This window comes from Homo sapiens, chromosome 15 (genome assembly GCF_000001405.40).
Source record: "Homo sapiens chromosome 15, GRCh38.p14 Primary Assembly".
In the NCBI taxonomy this organism is placed as follows: Eukaryota; Metazoa; Chordata; class Mammalia; order Primates; family Hominidae; genus Homo; species Homo sapiens.
Window position 1 is genome coordinate 22543580 of NC_000015.10, and position 20373 is coordinate 22563952.

At 45.1% G+C, this 20373-nt stretch overlaps 1 pseudogene across 1 annotated transcript in view, besides 1 other annotated feature; it reads left to right on the plus strand.

Moving 5' to 3' along the window:
• HERC2P2 (HERC2 pseudogene 2) overlaps positions 1-20373 on the plus strand; it is a 95995-nt pseudogene that overhangs the window by 48743 nt on the left and 26879 nt on the right. Inside the window, exons 12-24 of the transcript NR_002824.3 lie at positions 2188-2321; positions 2851-3021; positions 3099-3241; positions 3359-3510; positions 4302-4493; positions 10806-10993; positions 12433-12625; positions 13331-13513; positions 16210-16391; positions 17209-17356; positions 17679-17875; positions 17980-18210; positions 19370-19508. The product of NR_002824.3 is annotated as an HERC2 pseudogene 2 (transcript). The remainder of the gene's footprint in view (positions 1-2187; positions 2322-2850; positions 3022-3098; positions 3242-3358; positions 3511-4301; positions 4494-10805; positions 10994-12432; positions 12626-13330; positions 13514-16209; positions 16392-17208; positions 17357-17678; positions 17876-17979; positions 18211-19369; positions 19509-20373) is intronic.
• Positions 17287-17786: an enhancer, noted in NCBI's record as "H3K4me1 hESC enhancer chr15:23311731-23312230 (GRCh37/hg19 assembly coordinates)". NCBI's record gives its function as "activates a minimal SCP1, AML or CMV promoter by ChIP-STARR-seq in primed H9 embryonic stem cells {active_cell/tissue: H9 hESC(primed)}" and the evidence as "EXISTENCE:reporter gene assay evidence [ECO:0000049][PMID:30033119]".

Consider the following 20373-nt stretch of genomic DNA (forward strand, 5'->3'; position numbering starts at 1 on the left):
AAGTAGCTGTGTAAGGGTACAGAAAAGTCTTTTTGCATTAAATCCAAATTTGAATAAAAATGCTTAGAAATTATAAAATAGTTTAGAATTTAGTCACTTGTGATTATAAATAAACTACAGAAATTTCTGATTATATCCTTTTTTTTTTTTCTTTGAGATGGAGTCTTGGTCTGTTGCCAGGCTGGAGTGCAGTGGTGCGATCTCAGCTCACTGCAACCTCCGCCTCCCAGGTTCAAACGATTCCCCTGCCTCAGCCTTCCAAGTAGCTGGGATTACAGGCACGCGCCACCACTCCTGGCTAATTTTTATATTTTAGTAGAGACGGAGTTTCACCATGTTGGCCAAGATGGTCTTGATCTCCTGACCTCGTGATCTGCCTGCCTCGGCCTCCCAAAGTGCTGGGATTACGGGCGTGAGCCACCGCGCCTGGCCTCTGATCATATTATGACTTATACTGATTTACTCACAAACCTGCTTATTGAACAGTATTGATTACTGACTTTCTGATGGGCATTTTGAACAATAAGCTTATGAAAGACTAAAGTGTGTTAGAAGCCATCCTAATTTGATTGTTCCTGAACAAACCCTACACCATAACAGCCTGTCTGAATGCGAGGGGTGCTCTGGATCAGGAAGTCACAGCAGTCACACTGCTGCGATTCCTTTAACCCAGGCATGCAGGAACTCAGCCTGGGCCCAGGAGACAGGCTGCCTCGGAATGAGGGAGAGAGACTCCACATTTGCCATCTCATATCCGTGGGTTCTGAGCCCACACTGTCACTTTTAGAGTTTCTTGTGGGTTTATAGATTTATCGTGTGGTGTTTCAAGCTGGTTTTCTTTTTTTTTTGGAAAGTAAGTAACTTGAAAAGATTAAGTGATTAATATTCCTGTTGCTGTGTCAGGGATCCCCGAGCCTTCTCTCAGGCTTGATTCACTAAAAGGACTCAGAAGAGCTGTTATAGTCACAGCTGTGTTTTTACTGCAAAAAGGATACAGATTAAAATTAGCAGAGGGAAGGGTGCATGGAGGGAAGTCCAGAGGAAACTAGGCACACGCTTTGGTGTCTCTCCCCAGTGGCGTCACGTGGATGTGCTTAGCTCTCCCAGCAACAGTGTCACATCATGTGTGAAGAATTGTTAACCAGGCCAGCGCACCTGAGCCTCGAGTCTAGAGATTTTGTTGGGGGCCAGTCACATACGCAGGCAGTGCCCCTGTGACTGACCTCACTCAGGCTCCAGTGCCCCAGTGCAAAAACAAGTGGTCCCTCGCAAGTCCCATCATTAGCATAAACTACCTGGCCAGACCACTGCCACAAGGTCCTGGGTGTCAGGTATACCAAAAAACTTCTCAGGCAGGATGTTCCAAGGGCTCAGAGCTCAGCTCCTAGAAGAAGGACCAATCCTGAAGGGACAGACCTTCCTTGGGAATTTGCAGGGTTTGAGCAACCCCGGCCTGCTATGTTAGCTCTTTACTGCCCAGATGTATTATCATGTTGCTTATTTTTTATATTATATGCTGAGGAGATTTAGACCAAAAATTTTAAAAGAGATAAAGTATAGGGAGGAAATTCCACATATCACAGTGAATTCAGTTGATTCAGTTACACAGTAACAGAACCACTGAACTGGACCAGGGTGGACAAGCCAGGAACTATGGGCCAAATTCTACCTCTTGCTGGCTTTGGGTTGCCCATGGACTAAGACCTTTTTTTTTTTTTCCAGTTTGAAATTGTTATTTAAAAATTAAAAGAAGTATATTATTTTGGCACATGAAAATTACATGAAGCTAAAATTGTAGCACCATAAATAAAGTTTTACAGGAGCACAGCCACACCTGTTGCTTTATCTGTGGTTACTTTTTGTGCTACAGCAGCAGAGTTGAGTATTTGCGACAGACAGCATGGCCTGAAAGACTCAAATGTTCACTCTCTGGCACTTGAGGAAGAGCTTGCTGGCTGCCGGGCTTCCCCTGCTTCGGGGCTTCTCCCCTCGTCGCACTCTCACTTTGTCTTTTTGTTCTGCCAGGGTGATCATTTCACTCTTGTTGTTGAGCATTGCAATTTATAATGTTGTTCAGATGTTTATTTGAATGAAATATTTGTCCTTCATGTAAATCTAAATATGTCTTAATTTAAAATTAATATTTAAGTGTATGATTTTTATAGTGAATGATGTTTTAAAACACAGTTCCTAAGAAGCCAGAATCTACGGATGATGAAGAAAAAATTGGAAACGAAGAGAGTGATTTAGAAGAAGCTTGCATTTTGCCTCATAGTCCAATAAATGTGGACAAGAGACCCATTGCAATTAAATCACCCAAGGTGCGGTATTTTCTGTGATTCTGAGGTTGGCTGAATAGAATCGTAGCATGTAGCACAGGAATCCACAGTCTTGTACCTCTGTACCTGAGCATCTGGAGGGAGGGACGGGCGGTTGTTAGAAATACGGCCCCAGTGATGCTTCATGAACTTGACTTATGATGTCCTGGTCAGAGCTGTAGCTGGAGAAGGGTTTCCTTTTATTTTTGGTATTAGATTGTATCATTAATTATTCACCATTCATTCCTTAAATATATTCTTTGTTCCAGAAACAGTGCTGGGCCCTGTGGCTGTTAATATGAACCATAACTTAACTTAGTATGCCAAGCTAGCCTGTTCCAACATATAGTATAGAGATTATAAATTCACTTATATTTATAGCATAGTTTTAAAAACATGTATTACTAAATTTAACGTATTTTAACCAATTTAAACCCATAAGCATTATTTATATTTTACTTGAATAACTTTTAGAGCACAGTTTATTATTAAATAGGGTAGACTAATGATGAAAATTGTTTTCCTTTGTTAGGACAAATGGCAGCCGCTGTTGAGTACTGTTACAGATGTTCACAAATACAAGTGGTTGAAGCAGAATGTGCAGGGTCTTTATCCGCAGTCTCCACTCCTCAGTACAATTGCTGAATTTGCCCTTAAAGAAGAGCCAGTGGATGTGGAAAAGAGAAAGTGCCTACTAAAACAGGTAACATTTGATGAGAAATGCTTCTCTGCATTGGGTAATATACATAACACTTAACTGTATGCATTGATATTTTGCAGTTGGAGAGAGCAGAGGTTCGCCTGGAAGGGATAGATACAATTTTAAAATTGTATCTGGTGAGCAAGAATTTCTTACTTCCATCTGTGCCGTATGCGATGTTTTGTGGATGGCAAAGACTTATTCCTGAGGGAATCGATATAGGGTAAAACGTTAGCATATTTTTTTCTTAATTAAGGAAGCTGTGGCAACAGAATGTTTTTCTGTAACAGTTAGAAGTCTGGCAGTGTCCCGAGTCAAATTCTTTATCTTTATTTGAAAGGGAACCTCTTACTGATTGTTTAAAGGATGTTGATTTGATCCCGCCTTTTAATCGGATGCTGCTGGAAGTCACCTTTGGCAAGCTGTACGCTTGGGCTGTTCAGAACATTCGAAATGTTTTGGTGGATGCCAGTGCCAAATTTAAAGAGCTTGGTGAGTCAATAATTGTATCAATGTTATTTTATAGTTTGCCTTTAATTATATGTTGTGGAAACTTGCAAATGCCAATTTTTGCTTTTGAGAAGACTTTAATAAGTTTGTACTTTGTACTTGTATAATCTATGCTGCTGTCAGCTTTCTCAGATTTTAAACAAAACTTTAAAATTTAGCAGGAGACACAATGTTGAAGTACTCTAGTATAACATTTTTACATTTTGACATTTTTATGTGTATCACCACATATCCTAAAGTGTCTGTGTCCTATATTGATATTTATTTCCTGGATAGTTTGAGCATCTACAGAGAGTTGATTGGATTGGTTTTGTGGAGGAAAAGTGAGACATAACTTTTATATTTGAAATGGAAGGAATGGAATAGGGCACCGGTGTATTCAGAGAGCAGCATACTAAGTCCTGTAGACAGATGGAACGACCTGTGCATAGAATGCAGGGGGTAGGCCCATCGTGCAGCATGACAGAGCTGCCCACTCTGTGGAAACCACTGAAAAATAGTCAGATGTTTAGAGTAATCGCCCGTGCCTTCTGCATTACGTTTATGCTTGTATCCATGCGAGAGAAATGTCAGTGGGTGTCAAAATAGTCAGATGATTAGAGTAATTGCCCATGCTTTCTGCGTTACGTTTATTCTTGTATCCACGCACAAGAAATGTCAGTGGGTGTCAGTGCTTATTAGTCAGATGTTTAGAGTAATTGCCCGTGCTTTCTGCATTACATTTATTCTTGTATCCATTACAAGAAATGTCAGTGGGTGCCAATGCTCATTAGGTATCCAGCCGGTTCCCCTGCAAACCATCACCAATGAGAACCCATCGGGACCGAGCCTGGGGACCATCCCGCAAGCCCACTTCCTCCTGGTGATGCTCAGCATGCTCACCCTGCAGCACAGCGCAAACAACCTTGACCTCCTGCTCAATTCCGGCACGCTGGCCCTCGCTCAGACGGCACTGCGCCTGATTGGTAGGTCTGCACTGGCTTGAGAGCCTTTGGGAAAACGTCAAGATTTTGCTTTGATTTATTTTCTTTCTTTTTTTTAAAAAAAGCTTTTTGTAAATTATGGTAAGACACAAATAGCAGAAAGTGTAGCATTTTAACGTCGCAATTCAGCGGTATTAAATACATTCACAATTTTCTAGAGTCATCACCACTGTCTAGTTGTAGAACTTTTTCATCACTATAAATGCACCCCATTTAGCCATCAGTCCTGACTCCCCTGCTCTCCAGCCCCTGGTAGTCACAAATCTGCTTTCTCTGTCTATGGATTTGCATATCCCGGATATTTCATATAAATGGAATCATACCATTTGTGGCCTTTGTGTCTGGGTTATTTCATTTGGTATATATCAGTACTTTATTTTTATGGCTGAAAAAGATTTCATTGTATGAATATATAACATTTTGTTTACTCATTTATCTGTTGATGGACATTTGGGTTGGTTTTGCCTTTTGACTTTTGTGAATAGTGCTGCTAGGAACATTTATATACAAGTACTTGTTTGAACACTTGTTTCTAGTTCTTTTGATTATACACCTAGGACTGGAATTACAGGGTCATATGGTACAACTATGTGTAACTTACTGAGAAACTACCAAAGTTTTCCACAGTGCCATATCATTTTTACATTCCCATCACCAGTGGGCAGGATTCCAGGGTTCCAGTTTCTCTGCTTCCCTGCCAACACTATTTTTTGTGGTTTTCTTTTTTTTTTTGGATTAAGGCCATCCTAGCGGGTGTGAAGTGGTATCTCATTGTGATTTTGGTTTGCATTTCACTAATGATGAATGACATTGAGCTTCTTTACATGTTTGTGCTTGTTGGCCATTTGTATATCTTCTTTGGAGAAGTGTCTATTCAAGTCCCTTTCTCTTTATTTTTTATTTTATTTTTTTGAGACGGAGTCTCACTCTGTCGCCCAAGCTGGAGCGCAGTGGCACGATCTCGGCTCACTGCAACCTCCGCCTCCCGGGTTCAAGCACTTCTTGTGCCTCAGCCTCCCAAGTAGCTGGGATTACAGTCACACACCACCACACCTGGCTAACTTTTGTATTTTTAGTAGAGATGGGATTTCGCCATGTTGGCCAGGCTGGTCTGGAACTCCTGACCTCAGGTGATCTGCCTGCCCTGGCCTCCCAGAGTGCTGGGATAACAGGCGTGAGCCACTGCGCCCAGCCCCTTTCTCCTTTTTAAATAGGGTTATTTGTCGTCATCTTGTTGTACCAATAAATGCACTATATAAGTGTATCAAACCTTTAAAGAAGAATTAACACCAGTCCTCAGACTCTTTAAAAAGTTCGTGTATACTAGACCTTCACAGATCTGTAGACCTTTATCAGGTATATCATTTGAGGGTATTTTCTCCTGTTCTCTGGATTGTATTCCCTTAGATAGAGAAGTTTTTTATTTTGATGAAGTTCAATTTATCTGTTTCTCTTTTGTCGTCTATGCTTTTGATATCATATCCAAAAAGCCATTTCCAAACACAAGGTTGATGAAGATTATCCTCATGTTTTCTTCTGTAAGTTTTATAGTTTCAGCTCTTATATTTAGATCTTTGGTCCATTTTTAGGTAATTTCTTTTACACAGTGTGAGGTAAGAGTCCAGCCTTTTTCTTTTGTTGATCTGATTGTTTCAATACCACTTGTTGAGGACTGTTCTTTCCCTGAAGTTCTGGGTACCCTTGGCAAAAATCAGTTGGCTGTGGATATTTAGGTTTATTTCTGGACTCTCAATTACATTATCACATTCTATATGTTGATAATTGTGCAGGTACCGCCCTGTTTTGAACATTGTAGTTTTGTACTGTTTTAAAATTGAGAAGTGTGTTTTCTTTCTCAAGATGATTTTGGCTACTTTGGGTCCCTTGCATTTTCACATGAACTTCAAGGCTGGCTTTTCCATATCTGCAAAAAAAGACCATTGGGATTTTTGCTAGGGATTGAATCTGTAGATTGTTTTGGGAAATAGTGCCATTTTAACAATGTTAACATCCATTCTCTGAATGTGGAATGTCTTTCCATTTATTTCTGTCCTCTTTAATTTCTTTCAGCAATATTTTATTGTTTTACAGTTATCAGGGTAATAATGGCCTCATAGAATGAACTAGGTAGTGTTCCCATATATTCTGTTTTTAGAAGAGTTTGAGGATTGGTGTCAGTTCAGCTTTAAATGTTTGGTAGAGTTGACCACCTAAGCTTTTCTTTGTTGAAAGATTTTTTTTTTTTTTTCTTTGAGACGGAGTCTCACACTGTTGCCCGGGCTGGACTGCAGTGGCATGATCTCGGCCCACTGCAAGCTCCGCCTCCCGGGTTCACGCCATTCTCCTTCCTTAGCCTCCTGAGTAGCTGGGATTATAGTCGCCAGCCACCACGCCCGGCTAATTTTTTGTATTTTTAGTAGAGACGGGGTTTCACTGTGTTAGCCAGGATGCTCTCGATTTCCTGACCTCGTGATCCACCCGCCTCGGCCTCCCAAAGTGCTGGGATTACAGGCGTGAGCCACGGCGCCTGGCCTGAAAGATTTTTAATTACCGATTCAATCTCTTTACTTGTTATGGCTCTATTCAGATTTTCTATTTCTTCTTGAGTCAGTTTGGGTAATTTATGTTTCTAGGAATGTGTCCATTTTATCTAGGCTATTTTATTTGTTGGCATACAGTTGTTCACAGTGTTCTTTTATAATCTTTTTTATTTTTATGTTGGTAGTACTGTCTCCACTTACATTTCTGATGTTAGTTATTTGCATCTTTTCTCTTTTTTTTTCTTTTTTTTTTTTTTTTTTTTTGAGATGGAGTCTCACTCTGTTGCCAGGCCAGAGTGCAGTGACACAGTCTTGGCTCACTGCAACCTCCGCCTCCTGGATTCAAGTGATTCTCCTGCCTCAGCCTCCCAAGTAAGCTGGGACTACAGGCGCCTGCCGCCAGGCCTGGCTAATTTTTTTTGTATTTTTAGTGGAGATGGGGTTTCACCATGTTGACCAGGATGACCTAAATCTCTTGACCTTGTGATCCGCCCACCTCAGCTTCCCAAAGTGCTGGGATTAGAGGCGTGAGCCACCTTGACTGGCCTCTTTTTTTCTTAATTTACCAAAAGTTTGTCAGATTTTTTGTTCTTGCCAGAAACCGAACTTTTGGTTTTGTAGATTATTTTTCTATTCTCTATTTAATTTATGGCTGCTCTAATCTCTATCGTTTCCTTCTTTCTGCTTTGTATTTTTTTGTTTTTGTTTTTGTCTTTGTTTTGAGACAGGGTCTTACTTTGTCCCTCAGGCCCAAGTACAGTGGCGCACTCATGGCTCACTGCAGCCTCAACCTCCTGGGCTCAAGTTATCTACCTGCCTCAGCCTCCCAAAGTGCTGGGATTACAGGTGTGAGGCACGACACCTGGCCTAACTTTGGTTTTTATTGTGTTCTTATTTTTTTAGTTCTTCCAGATGTAGAGTTATTGATTTGAGATCATCTTTTGTAAATGCAGACTTTTATAGTATAATTGCCCCTTTTAGCCCTGCTTTTGGCCCAGCACAGAAGTTTTGGTGTGTTGTGTTTTCATTCATCTCATAGTATTTTCTAATTTCCCTTGTGATTTCTTCTTTGACCCACTGATTGTTTACCATGTGTTGTTTAATTTTCATATACTTGTGAATTTTCCACTTTTCCTTTTGTTATTAATTTCTCATCATTTCCTTTTGGTTGGAGAAGGTAACTTGTATGATTTTCGTCTGTTTAAATTTGAGACTTTGTGGCCTAACATATGGTCTGGTCAGTCTAAGAGAGTGTCCTGTGGTATACTTGAGAAGAACGTGTATTCTGCTCTTTTTGGTGAAATGTTCTGTATATGTCTATTAGATCTGATTGGTTTATGGTGGTGTTCTTTGGCTAAAACTGAGATGCTGCAGGGCCAGTTGTCAAAGTCACAGTGAAAAAGCAAGGTTTTCCCAAGCTCTTATAATCACATCAGTTTTAGAGTTCACATTAATCCATTCAAAAATATGTATCAGGCCAGGCTGTAATCGTAGCACTTTGGGAGGCTCAGGCGGGTGGATTGCTTGAGCTCAGGAGTTTGAGACCAACTTGGGCAACATAGCGAAACCCTCTCTCTACAAAAAATACGAAAATTAGCTGGGCATAGTGGTGTGTGCCTGTGGTCCCAGCTACCTGGGAGGCTGAGGTGGGAGGATTGCTTGAGCCAGGGATGCAGAGGTTGCAGTGAGCGGAGATCAAGCCACTGCACTCCAGCCTGGGCTCCAGCCTGGGTGACAGAGTGAAATCCTGTCTTGGGGGTGGGTGGAATCTTTCTATCTGTCTGTCTGTCTGTCTCTCTCTCTCTCTCTATATATATATATATAATTATTTTTTAATTTATATATTATGTTTATATGTTGTATTATGTTAAATATATATTTTAATATGTATATTACAGCTGAAAAGAATCATCTAGTAAGGGTTATATCTGATTTCCTGAGGCCTCATTAGCAACCAAAAGTTGCATTTAAAAATTACAAAAGCATATCTCCATCGAGAAATGGCCTTTTTATGTTGTCTACTTTTCCCCCAGAGGTTCCAATAAGTAAAAATCACAGCACAAATCATTAAGTATGGGGACTTGTTCTGTTGATAATATTCATGTGTTTAAATTTCATCTGGCCCACTGGCTGCAAAAAGCAAGGAAGTTGTGTCTCATGAATATCCGTCTATATTTGCAGCCTGCCCTGATCAGGGTATCCTTCTTATCATTTAAGAAATTATAAACATATAATATTTTATACCAGCTTAATGTATACATCCACATGTAACAGCCACAAAACATAAAGCTATGTAAAATAAAAAAATTCCCCCCGGTTTTGGTTGCAAATTTATTCAAGCCCTTAGCAATACATTCAGTCTTTACAGAGTTAACAGTATAGCTGCCCAGGGGCTCCTGGGAGATCCACCTGGAATGCAACTCCTGTCCCTTCCTTGGGGCCCCTTCCTGGGGGCCCTAAAGTAGCGGCTAGGCTAAAGGAAAGGCTGTTTCTCCTGCTAGTTTATCTAAAGTTTTGCTCCAGCCCTGGGAATTGAATATCCTTTTTTGTTCTCTTGGAAGAGAGAGAAACACAAACTTTTTACATTTTTTGGTCCACCCCAGCCCACCTTTGGGACTGTTTGGATCTTTTTCCCTCCCACCTGGAGGAGAAAACTAAAATCAAGGGAGTTACCAGAACCACACTCCTACCCCCTCTCAGTTTAGCAAGTGGGAAAAGGGGGGTTAAAAATCTAGCCTACTCTCCTAGGGTTAGCGCTCCTATTTTCAGATCCATTGGGAAGTTTTACTTCTCTCAGGTGACAGCAGCTCGGCTTCTGTTTTGTGCTACGGATGACTCTGTAGCCACCCAGGGCACCAATTGTCAGGGGTCTCCAAGACCACCCCCAGGTTTGATGGTTGGCCAGGAGGACTCACAAGACTCAGCATGTAGTTGTACTCAGGGCTATAGTTTATTACAGTGAAGGGACACAGAGCAAAATCATGAAAAAGGACATGGGTAAAGTCCAGAGGAAAGCAGGTACAAGCTTCCACAGGATCCACACAGGACGAGCTTAACTGCCCTGGCACCGAGCCGTGTCAAGTGCTGTCTGCCGGGAAGCTGGGTAGAGACTCCAGGCCCACGGTTTCCATCAGGACTGATCACACGGGCACCCCCTGCCTGGCGTGTACCAAGTTCCAGACTAAGGAAAGCAGGTTTCAGCACAGACCACATTGTTTGTACAGACAGTTCAGGCACAGGGAACCACACCTACCACCTAGGGAATGGGGGAGCCCTCCTGAGATCCAGACTCCAGCTGAGGGCCAGCCTGCAGCAACCCTGTCTGAGGTTGTATCTCGGGCCAGCTGTTAGCTGTCTTCTGCACAGAACCATGATTAAAGTTTGTTAGTTTCCCACTGTTAGATATTTAGGTAGTTATCTTTGTTTTTCTATTAATAAAAAATGTGATGAGGATCTTTCTAACTCAGTTATTTTGCTTTTTTCAGGGGAGTAATTCCTAGAAGTAGAGAAAGTAGCTTTACTGAGCATTTTAATATCTTTTATATCTTCCTAGGATATTTATGTATTTCATCCTTCCGTTTATCTTCTTTTTATCCTATATCAGTAAAATATTCATAATATTATATTGATAAAACATATAGTATGGATTGTTCAAAATTACGATCTTCATTAGTACTTTGTGAATGTTTTGTGTGTATTAAGGGGACACTGTAGCTACTTGTTGGCTCAGCTATTGTTTTTGACGCTCCGTCAGGCCCCAGTTGTGACAGCGTTGAGGAAGATATGAATGCTTCTGCCCAAGGTGCTTCTGCCACAGTTTTGGAAGAAACAAGGAAGGAAACGGCTCCTGTGCAGCTCCCTGTTTCAGGGCCAGAACTGGCTGCCATGATGAAGATTGGAACAAGGGTCATGAGAGGTGTGGACTGGAAATGGGGCGATCAGGTACTCAGAGATTTGATGTGAACACATTAGCCACACATTAGTTATCTTCTGCATAGTTCTGTACGATATTGGTGGGTGGAAATTGGAATAATCCAGGATGTGTCAGTTGATCGATGACACAGGTGTTGGTTCCCGAGCAGCTGAAGGGAGTGAACACAAACAGGGAATCATAAGTAGGGCATCTGAGCAGAATCAAGTCTGGAAAGAGAGGCAGCTCTTTTCAGGAAACTCACTGGCATGAGGCTCAGTTTGATGGGTCACTGGAACAAGAGTGTGAGAGTGAGCAAGAGAGTAAATCTCATTCTGAAAGTTGGTGTAGTGAAGGCTCTGAGGCAGGAAGCCCAGATGCTGCCCCTGTGGGCTGATGGCCATGTGCTGCGAAGTGCCCTGAAGCCAGTAGTTAGGGATCTACTTCATGGGCCTGTGGCCACGTTTCCATCTTCCCTCATCGCAGGTCTCTTCTAAATCTCTGCCAGGTGCCCCCAGGTGGAAGTCACTTACCACAGCCCTAGCTAAGTTAGGGCAGTGTTCACCTTCCCATGGTCTGTCTGGCTTTTCTCAGCCACGCTGGTAAGCCCTGGCTTTGTCACAGTCATCTTAGAAATAGCAGTGTCTGGAGACAGCATCCATCCTAGAAACAGCTTTCTCCTGCAGAAGTGAGAGACAGAGCTTCCCCCTGGGGCCCAGGGGAAACTGAAGCAAAGGGAATGTGGAGGTGCTGGTGCTTGTTTCAGGTTTCCGCTCTTGCAAGGCCCGTGAGGGATTGTGGGGACAGGACTTGCTGCAAAGCCCTGTCTCTGCATTGACTCAGAGGATCCTCATTGAGATGAGATTTCCCCGACTTCCTTGGTAAAGCAGCATGAGCACGTTATTTTATGCCATTTAATTTAAAATGATGCAAGCACACATTTTGTAGGAGAGGTGAAATCTGTGTCTGGGGACAGCCCCTGACAGACAGGGTGGCATATGGCGACATCTGTGTGGCAGGTCTGGTGGGAGCCATGGAAGGACCAGGGCAGGGCACGCACCCTCCTAACTGAGGTCTGGTGGGAGCCATGGAAGGACCAGGGCAGGGCACGCACCCTCCTAACTGAGGTCTGGTGGGAGCCATGGAAGGACCAGGGCAGGGCAGGCACCCTCCTAACTGAGGTCTGCTGGGAGCCATGGAAGGACCAGGGCAGGGCACGCACCCTCCTAACTGAGGTCTGGTGGGAGCTATGGAAGGACCAGGGCAGGGCACGCACCCTCCTAACTGAGGTCTGCTGGGAGCCATGGAAGGACCAGGGCAGGGCATGCACCCTCCTAACTGAGGTCTGCTGGGAGCCATGGAAGGACCAGGGCAGGGCACACACCCTCCTAACTGAGGTCTGCTGGGAGCCATGGAAGGACCAGGGCAGGTTACGCACCCTCCTAACTGATCTCTACTTTGGCTTTCTCAGGATGGGCCTCCTCCAGGCCTAGGCCGAGTGATTGGTGAGCTGGGAGAGGACGGGTGGATAAGAGTCCAGTGGGACACAGGCAGCACCAACTCCTACAGGATGGGGAAAGAAGGAAAATACGACCTCAAGCTGGCAGAGCTGCCAGCCCCTGCACAGCCCTCAGCAGAGGATTCGGACACAGAGGACGACTCTGGTGGGTGACTCAGGAAGGTGTTTAGTCCAAGGCAGCCTACAAACTGTCCAGTTGCTGGGTGCTGCCACTGCCATCTGGGCCTTAGAATGGGATGTCAGGACACACCTGCAGCTGGCGCTCTGTCCTCGGAACCTGTAATTTAAATAAGCTCCCAGGCACCTCCGATGCAGGTGTGTGGAGTGACTGTGGGATCCGGCGATCTGGCTGGAACTGACTTTCTGCATTTTCCTCTCATGTGTGCACCCGCCCCTCTTTGAGAATGTGGTGGCCAGGTGGGGGCAGCTGCATCACCAGTGAGTCTCATGTGGTTGGTGCTGAGCCTGCATCTGAGCGAGTGAGCCGAGGCCTGGTGGAATTGCCCTGCGGTCTCGGTCCATCGCGTCCTCCTCCAGTGAGAGCCCCTGCCCAAGCACACCCCACCTGCCACCTGCCTTTACCTTTCCTCTGTGGTCCCTGACTCTGAACTCTTCATGTAATGTGGAGTTAGTCAGCACTTTATCGCTTCTAGGGAAGCAGAGGTGAGAATTTAGGGGTGGACCAAGAAAGCTAGATCCTATCTGTGGAGATCCAGGTTGTGGGAGGAGGTTTCGTGACATTTCTTAGCTGTTCCTAAAACACGTGAAGCTTCACATGGTTGGGCTTGGTAAGACCATCCAAGAGGCTGGGGCTGCCAATATAATTTGTAATTTTGATTATTTTTTTTAGAAGCCGAACAAACTGAAAGGAACATTCACCCCACTGCAATGATGTTTACCAGCACTATTAACTTACTGCAGACTCTTTGTCTGTCTGCTGGAGTTCATGCTGAGATCATGCAGAGTGAAGCCACCAAGACTTTATGCGGACTGCTGCGAATGTTAGTGGAAAGCGGAACGACGGACAAGACATGTATGGAATGAGAGATCGAGGGCCCAGGGAGTCAGCGCTGGGGGCCGCACGCTTGTCGTGTCTGGGTGTGCATGTGGGTGGGTGTGGATGTGTGTGGATTCCTTTCCTGTGGCTGCTGTAACAAAGTATACAAACTTGGGGACTTACACAGTAGAAATTCTCACGGTTCTGGTGGCTGGAAGGCTGAGATCAAGGGTAGTTCCTTCTGGGGCTGTGAGGGAGAAGCTGCTTCAGGGCTCTGCCCCAGCTTCTGGAGTTTACTGGTCTCTTTAGCGTTCCTCGGCTTGTAGAGGTGTCACCCCTATCTCTGCCGTCATCTTCACATGGCATTCTCCCTGTGTGTGAGTCGCCTCCAAATCTCCCCTTTTCATGAGGACATCATTCAACCTCATCAAACTGATTACATCCGCAGCGACCCTATTTCCAAACAAGGTCACCTGCCGAGGTACGGTAGGGGTTAGGGCTTCAACATACGAATTTTGCAATTCTGAATTCAACCCGTAACACTGGCTTCAAACAACAAATTTGTTCTCTCAGAGTTCTGGAGACCAGAAGTCCCAAATCCAGGTGCGGGCAGGGCCATGCTTCTTCCACAGGCTCTAGGGGAAGGTCCTTCCTTACTTTGTCCAGCTTCTGGGAGCTCCAGGCTTCCTTGGTGTTGGGACGCATTGTGCCAGTCTCTGCCTGCGTCTTCACATGGCCCCTGCCCCTGTGTTCTGCATGTCCTTTTCTGTCTCTGAAAGGACTCTTTCATTGAGTTTCTTTGACTCTAATCCAACATGATGTCACCTAAATTCTTACCTTAATGACGTCTACAGAGACCTCATTAAATAAGATCATATTCTGAGGTTCCGAATGTATGTGAAGTTGGAGGACAGGCACAGTTTAATCCATAAAGTGTTTGTGTGTGTGGAGAGTAAGTATGAGAAATGTGAGCTGAGGGAGTGGGGTGAGTGTGCATGTGACTGAGAGTGAGCACGTGTGAGTGTGGGTGGGTATGTGGGCGTCCTCCAGTGTGTGTGAGAGCATGCGTGTATTAGTGGTGTGCTGGAGCGTCCGCACATATTGATGAGAGTGAGTGTGTTAGCGGTCGATGGGCAAGTGGCTGAGCGTTTGTGTTGCAAGTGTGATGGTGTGTTTGTAGCATGTGGTTGTGTGGGTGTGTGTATGTCCATGAGAGCATGTGAGTGGGCAGGTGACTACATTCAGGTGAAGTGGGAGTGAAAGCGTCGGTGCATTGAGCCAATGTGTGTGTGTGAGGGTGAGCACGAGGGAGGCATGAGTGTGAGTGTGAGGGGATTACTGGGTGTGCGAATGAGACACCCAGTGTAAGTGTAAGTCAGTGAGGGTTGGTGAGTGTGAGGAAGTATGAGTGGGTGGCAGGCACAAGTGTAAGTGTGCGATTGAGTGTGAGCATTTGTGTAAATGTGTATGAGTGCCTTGTGTCAGTGTGAGCACGAGTGATGTTATTGTGAATGCGTGTGAGTGAATGTGAGCATTTTGCTTGTGTCAGTGAATGGGAGGTTATAACAGTATAGGTGTGAGTGTAAAGTGAGAAAGTGTGTGGGTAAAGGTGTGAGTGGGTGAGTAATCGGTCATTACTAGTGTTGAGGAGTGTGAGTGCATATGTGAGTTTTTGTATGCATTGGGAGGGGTAAGTGTATGTGAGAGTGCATGGGAGTGTGTGTCAGCTTGCATCTGTTTGTGCATACGTGTGACTGGGATTGTGTGTGTGTTAGTGATTGCGACAGTGGTGTGAGTGCACCTGAAAGTGTGAGGGTGGGTGTATGAGTGCCCATGAGTGTGTCTGAATAACTTAGTATCAGTGTGAGTGTGAGGATGCATATGAGGGTGTGAGAGTGAGTGTGTGTGTGTGTGTGAGCGCATGTGAGTGTGCTGAAGGAAGGCAGGTGTCCTCATAAGCTTGGATAGCTGAGGGCAGGGTGGGGGAGGTGGGAGGGAGAGCAGGTCCTGTGGGGCTGTGGGCGGGGTCCCTCAGGGGGCCCAGCCTCCAAGCCTCAGCTTCCATTGAGGGAGTAGTGGAGTCCTGGAGCCAGGCGGAGCAGAGGTGGGCCCACTGGTGCCAGAATCCAGTGGTGTAAACCTAGTGAAAAACTCATTTTGTTAATGCAGATGCATTAAACTTGGATTGGAAACTGTCTCTACTAAAATTACAAAAAGAGTATTTAAGTGGTGCAGATTAAATATAACCAAGATTGTGGAGATATTTAAAACACGAAATTAAAAATATAATAGATGCACTGTTGCAAATTACTATTTGAATTATAGATCATTTTCCTATTGCCTAGAAACAATGCATAGCTAAAATTCCCTAACTACTTTTACGACACATACTTAGAAGGTTTTAAAAATGCCTGTAGTCCCAGCTATTCGGCAGGGCAAGGCAGGAGAATCACTTGAGCCCAGGAGTTTTAGACCAGCCTGGGCAACACAGTGAGGGCCCTTCTCTAAAAAAAACAAAAAAAAAAGAAAACTTCGGAAATGTTTCTTGAACTAACTTAAAAGCCGCCTTCCACTTCTCACTTTGAATTAGTTTGAATTAATTTACAAACTGCAATATATTTTAAAGGAGCTTATTGTAGAAAATAAGTTGATAAAAAAATAAGGATATATATATCTTTAGGGATTTGTCTTTAGGGACTTGTTACCAAGCATGTCTATTTTCCCTCCCGCAGCTTCTCCAAACAGGCTGGTGTACAGGGAGCAACACCGGAGCTGGTGCACGCTGGGGTTTGTGCAGAGCATCGCTCTCACGCTGCAGGTGTGCGGCGCCCTCAGCTCCCCGCAGTGGATCACGCTGCTCATGAAGGTTGTGGAAGGGCACGCACCCTTCACTGCCACCTCGCTGCAGAGGCAGGTAATGTGCTGCCAGGCAAAACCAGTTCCCTGAGAGAGGCCTCCATGTACTGAAGTTCCCTGCCCTCAGAGTCAGGGGCCTTTATTCCGTAACGAGTGCAGAAAGGGTCTAGAAGTGACAGGGTAGATTTTCTGGAGGCAAGGGGCAGAGGTCCTTGATAATTGGTAAGTTGCTAACCTTCAGTTTACCTGCTTTTCTCTTAAGTGGTAAATCCTGCAACTACTTACTCATCTGCTTCACAGAATTTGTAGTGTAATTGTCTTAAGAATTAAACTAAAAATAATTCTTTTTTAATTAAACACATGCATCTGTAATGTTGCTTTTTTCTAAAGTCCCTGACAATCCTAATCACTAATCAACTTGAGTGTAATTACCTGGCTGTAAAATAATGAATCTCAAAATTTTCACATGATTACTTGCATTATGAGAACAGAAAATAAAGAGAGGCTGGGCGCAGTGGCTCATGCCTGTAATCCCAGCACTTTGGGAGGCAGAGGCAGGTGTATCATGAGGTCAGGAGTTTGAGACCAGCCTGGCCAACATAGTGAAATCCTGTCTCTACTGAAAATCCAAAAAAAATGAGCCGGGCTTGGTGGTGAGTGCCTATAATCCCAGCTACTCAGGAAGCTGAAGCAAGGAGAATCGCTTGAACCTGGGAGGTGGTGGTTGTAGTGAGCCAAGACCGTGCCACTGCACTCCAGCCTGGGCGACAGTGCGAGACTCTGTCTCAAAAAAAAAAAAAAAAAGAAAATAACAATCTGTAGTTTCCTCATCAGATTTTTTTTAATGCTTGTCATTTTAAATTTTCTTTTATCAGATCTTAGCTGTGCATTTGTTGCAAGCAGTCCTTCCGTCATGGGACAAGACCGAAAGGGTGAGGGACATGAAATGCCTCATGGAGAAGCTGTTTGACTTCTTGGGGAGCTTGCTCACTATGTGCTCCTCTGACGTGCCGTTACTCAGAGGTGGGTGGCCGTCTCCCTTCCCTGTACCCTGGTGAAGAGCGGTGCAGTGCCGTCACTCAGAGGTGGGTGGCCGTCTCCCTTCCCTGTGTCCTGGTGAAGAGCGGTGCAGTGCCGTCACTCAGAGGTGGGTGGCCGTCTCCCTTCCCTGTACCCTGGTGAAGAGCGGTGCAGTGCCGTCACTCAGAGGTGGGTGGCCGTCTCCCTTCCCTGTGTCCTGGTGAAGAGCCGTGTAGTGCCGTCACTCAGAGGTGAGTGGCCGTCTCCCTTCCCTGTGCCCTGGTGAAGAGTGGTGCAGCAGCTTCTCCCCTGGTTTCCTCCTCAGAGTCCACGCTGAGGCGGCGCAGGGTGTGCCCGCAGGCCTCGCTGACTGCCACCCACAGCAGCACACTGGCGGAGGAGGTGGTGGCACTGCTGCACACGCTGCACTCCCTGACTCGGTGGAATGGGCTCATCAACAAGTACATCAACTCCCAGCTCCGCTCCATCACCCACAGCTTTGCGGGAAGGCCTTCCAAAGGGGTGGGTTTGTGTTCTCAGAATTAATTTAGTTGAACAGTAAACCTGTAGGGATTGGGCAGCTCCGTGAGTGTCCCCGGTCGAGCTCGCTGTTTGGTCTGCACTAGGCCCAGTTAGATGACTACTTCCCTGATTCCGAGAACCCTGAAGTGGGGGGCCTCATGGCGGTCCTGGCTGTGGTTGGAGGCATCGATGGTCGCCTGTGCCTGGGCGGCCAAGTTGTGCACGATGACTTTGGAGAAGTCACCATGACTCGCATCACCCTGAAGGGCAAAATCACCGTGCAGTTCTCTGACATGCGGACGTGTCGCGTTTGCCCATTGAATCAGCTGAAACCAGTAGGTGAACTTGTGCTTAGTTACTGCATGATAAGGGAAATTGACTTTACACTAGAACCGAGCACCAACATCAGCACTTGAAAGAACTTGATTCTGGTACTTGAAGTTTGCCTTCCAGGAAGCTGTGCGAGCTTGTGCTTCTGTGGTAAGCAGGGCCTGTCTCACAGGGCACTTAAAGCAGTGGTTCGTGTGTATTTCAGCCTCAGAGACACGAAGAGGGCTTTAGCAACCTAGAAGGTACCGTGCATCTATGAGGTAGTTCTAATTATTTTAAAATGTGAATTTATGAAGTTTACTTTTTATTCAACAACTCAAGTTTTAAAAAAACAAACATGTTTAAACACCTTTAAAAAAACAGCCTTTCTTCATGTAGAAAATGCTTAGTAGTTTTGAGTGACGTGACTTAATGTAGCAGCTACTGTCATCTTAATCTGTGAATCAAGGATGCACAGGGAGAAGGAGCCATTTACATTATTTTGATGTAGCCCAAGTGCAATCTTACTATATATTCTTTTTCTTTTTTATTTTGAGATGGAGTCTTGCTCTTGTCACCCAGGCTGGAGTGCAATGGCACAATGTTGTCGGCCCTCTGCAACCTTTGCCTCCCGGGTTCAAGCGATTCTCCTGCCTCAGCCTCCTGAGTGTCTGGGATTACGGTGTGTGCCACCACGCCTGGCTAATTTTGTATTTTTAGTAGAGATGGGGTTTCACTATGTTGGCCGGGCTGGTCTCAAACTCCTGACCTCAGGTGATCCGCCCGCCTCGGCCTCCCAAAGTGCTGGGATTACAGGCGTGAGCCACCGTGCCCGGCCTGACTATATTTTCTATAAAGTACTCTTTTTTATTATTATAGGAATATATACATGTTGTAGAAAACTTGAAGTATATAGAAAATATCTGAGAAGATAGTAACCACCACACTGATGTAATTATTGTTGACAGGTTTGTAAAGAAAAATTAATATAGATTATACTTATTATATGTGTAAATCTCTATCCTGCCTTTAATGTCATTTTAAAAAATGATTATTCTCAGCTATAAAAAGGCTTACGGGTATGTGTGGCATTTCAGGATTAAGCCCATGGTTTTGATGACTTTCAGAACGTTTCATTTGTTAGTCATATTGGCCACACTCTGACAGCTTCTGTGTCCTCTCCAGCTCCCTGCCGTGGCCTTTAATGTGAACAACCTGCCCTTCACAGAGCCCATGCTGTCTGTCTGGGCTCAGTTGGTGAACCTCGCTGGAAGCAAGTTAGAAAAGCACAAAATAAAGAAATCGACTAAACAGGCCTTTGCAGGTCAGTACATGGCGCTTCTTGATGAAATAGCTGCCGTCTTAAACTCGTGTGGTTTGTACAGTGTTCTTTTATGAGTGAATTCACGGACGTACTAAAGTCCTGGGGTTCACGTGGGCTCACCATTTGTTGAGTTGCGGTTGGGAATGTAACCCTGTGTTCGTGGTAATGAGTATTTTCGAGTCAGCCTTTGTCGCCATGTTCGGAGCCACACTTGAAGAACCCCATGGCTCACACCCTCTTCTCCGTGTCACCCTTTATCCCGGAAGAGAAGTCTGTTCACCTCTTCCCTCCTCCCCTCCATCCCAGGGCCCTGTGGCCCCGTCACCCTGTTGGACCATGGCTCACAGCCTGTTCTCTGCCGGATCCAGGGGCCTCTGTCCCGGAAGCGCCTGGCTTGCCTGTGACATTCAGGATGGCTAAGACTGTGACTGTAGCCTGGCTTGGCTTTGCCTTCCTTCGGGTCTAGAAGGCGGTTCTCCTGAGTTTGTTTCCATGTTTCTAGGGAGCTCTTCTCTCTGCTCATTCTTTATGTCCTGGAAGTCTGTGTGGCTTCACCCATAACTATGGCGTATTCTGCCCAGTCTTCTTGAGTTTTCTCCCCTCTTGCTCCCACAGACCTACGATTGCTGCTTCAGCATTTATGATGTAAGCACTTTCAACTCTGGATCTCCCATTCACATCTCTGGTTGGAGGTGCAGTGCATGCAAATCACCACATGTCCGAAATTCAGCTGGCTGGCATTCTCTAGTAGCTGCCGTTTCCCATCGTGGTGAATAAAACTGTCTGCCAGTTAGTTGAGCCAGTGTCCGAGCGGCACCTGCGGCCCTCCTTCCTTCCCACCCCATGCTCTCTGTGCTGCTTCTGC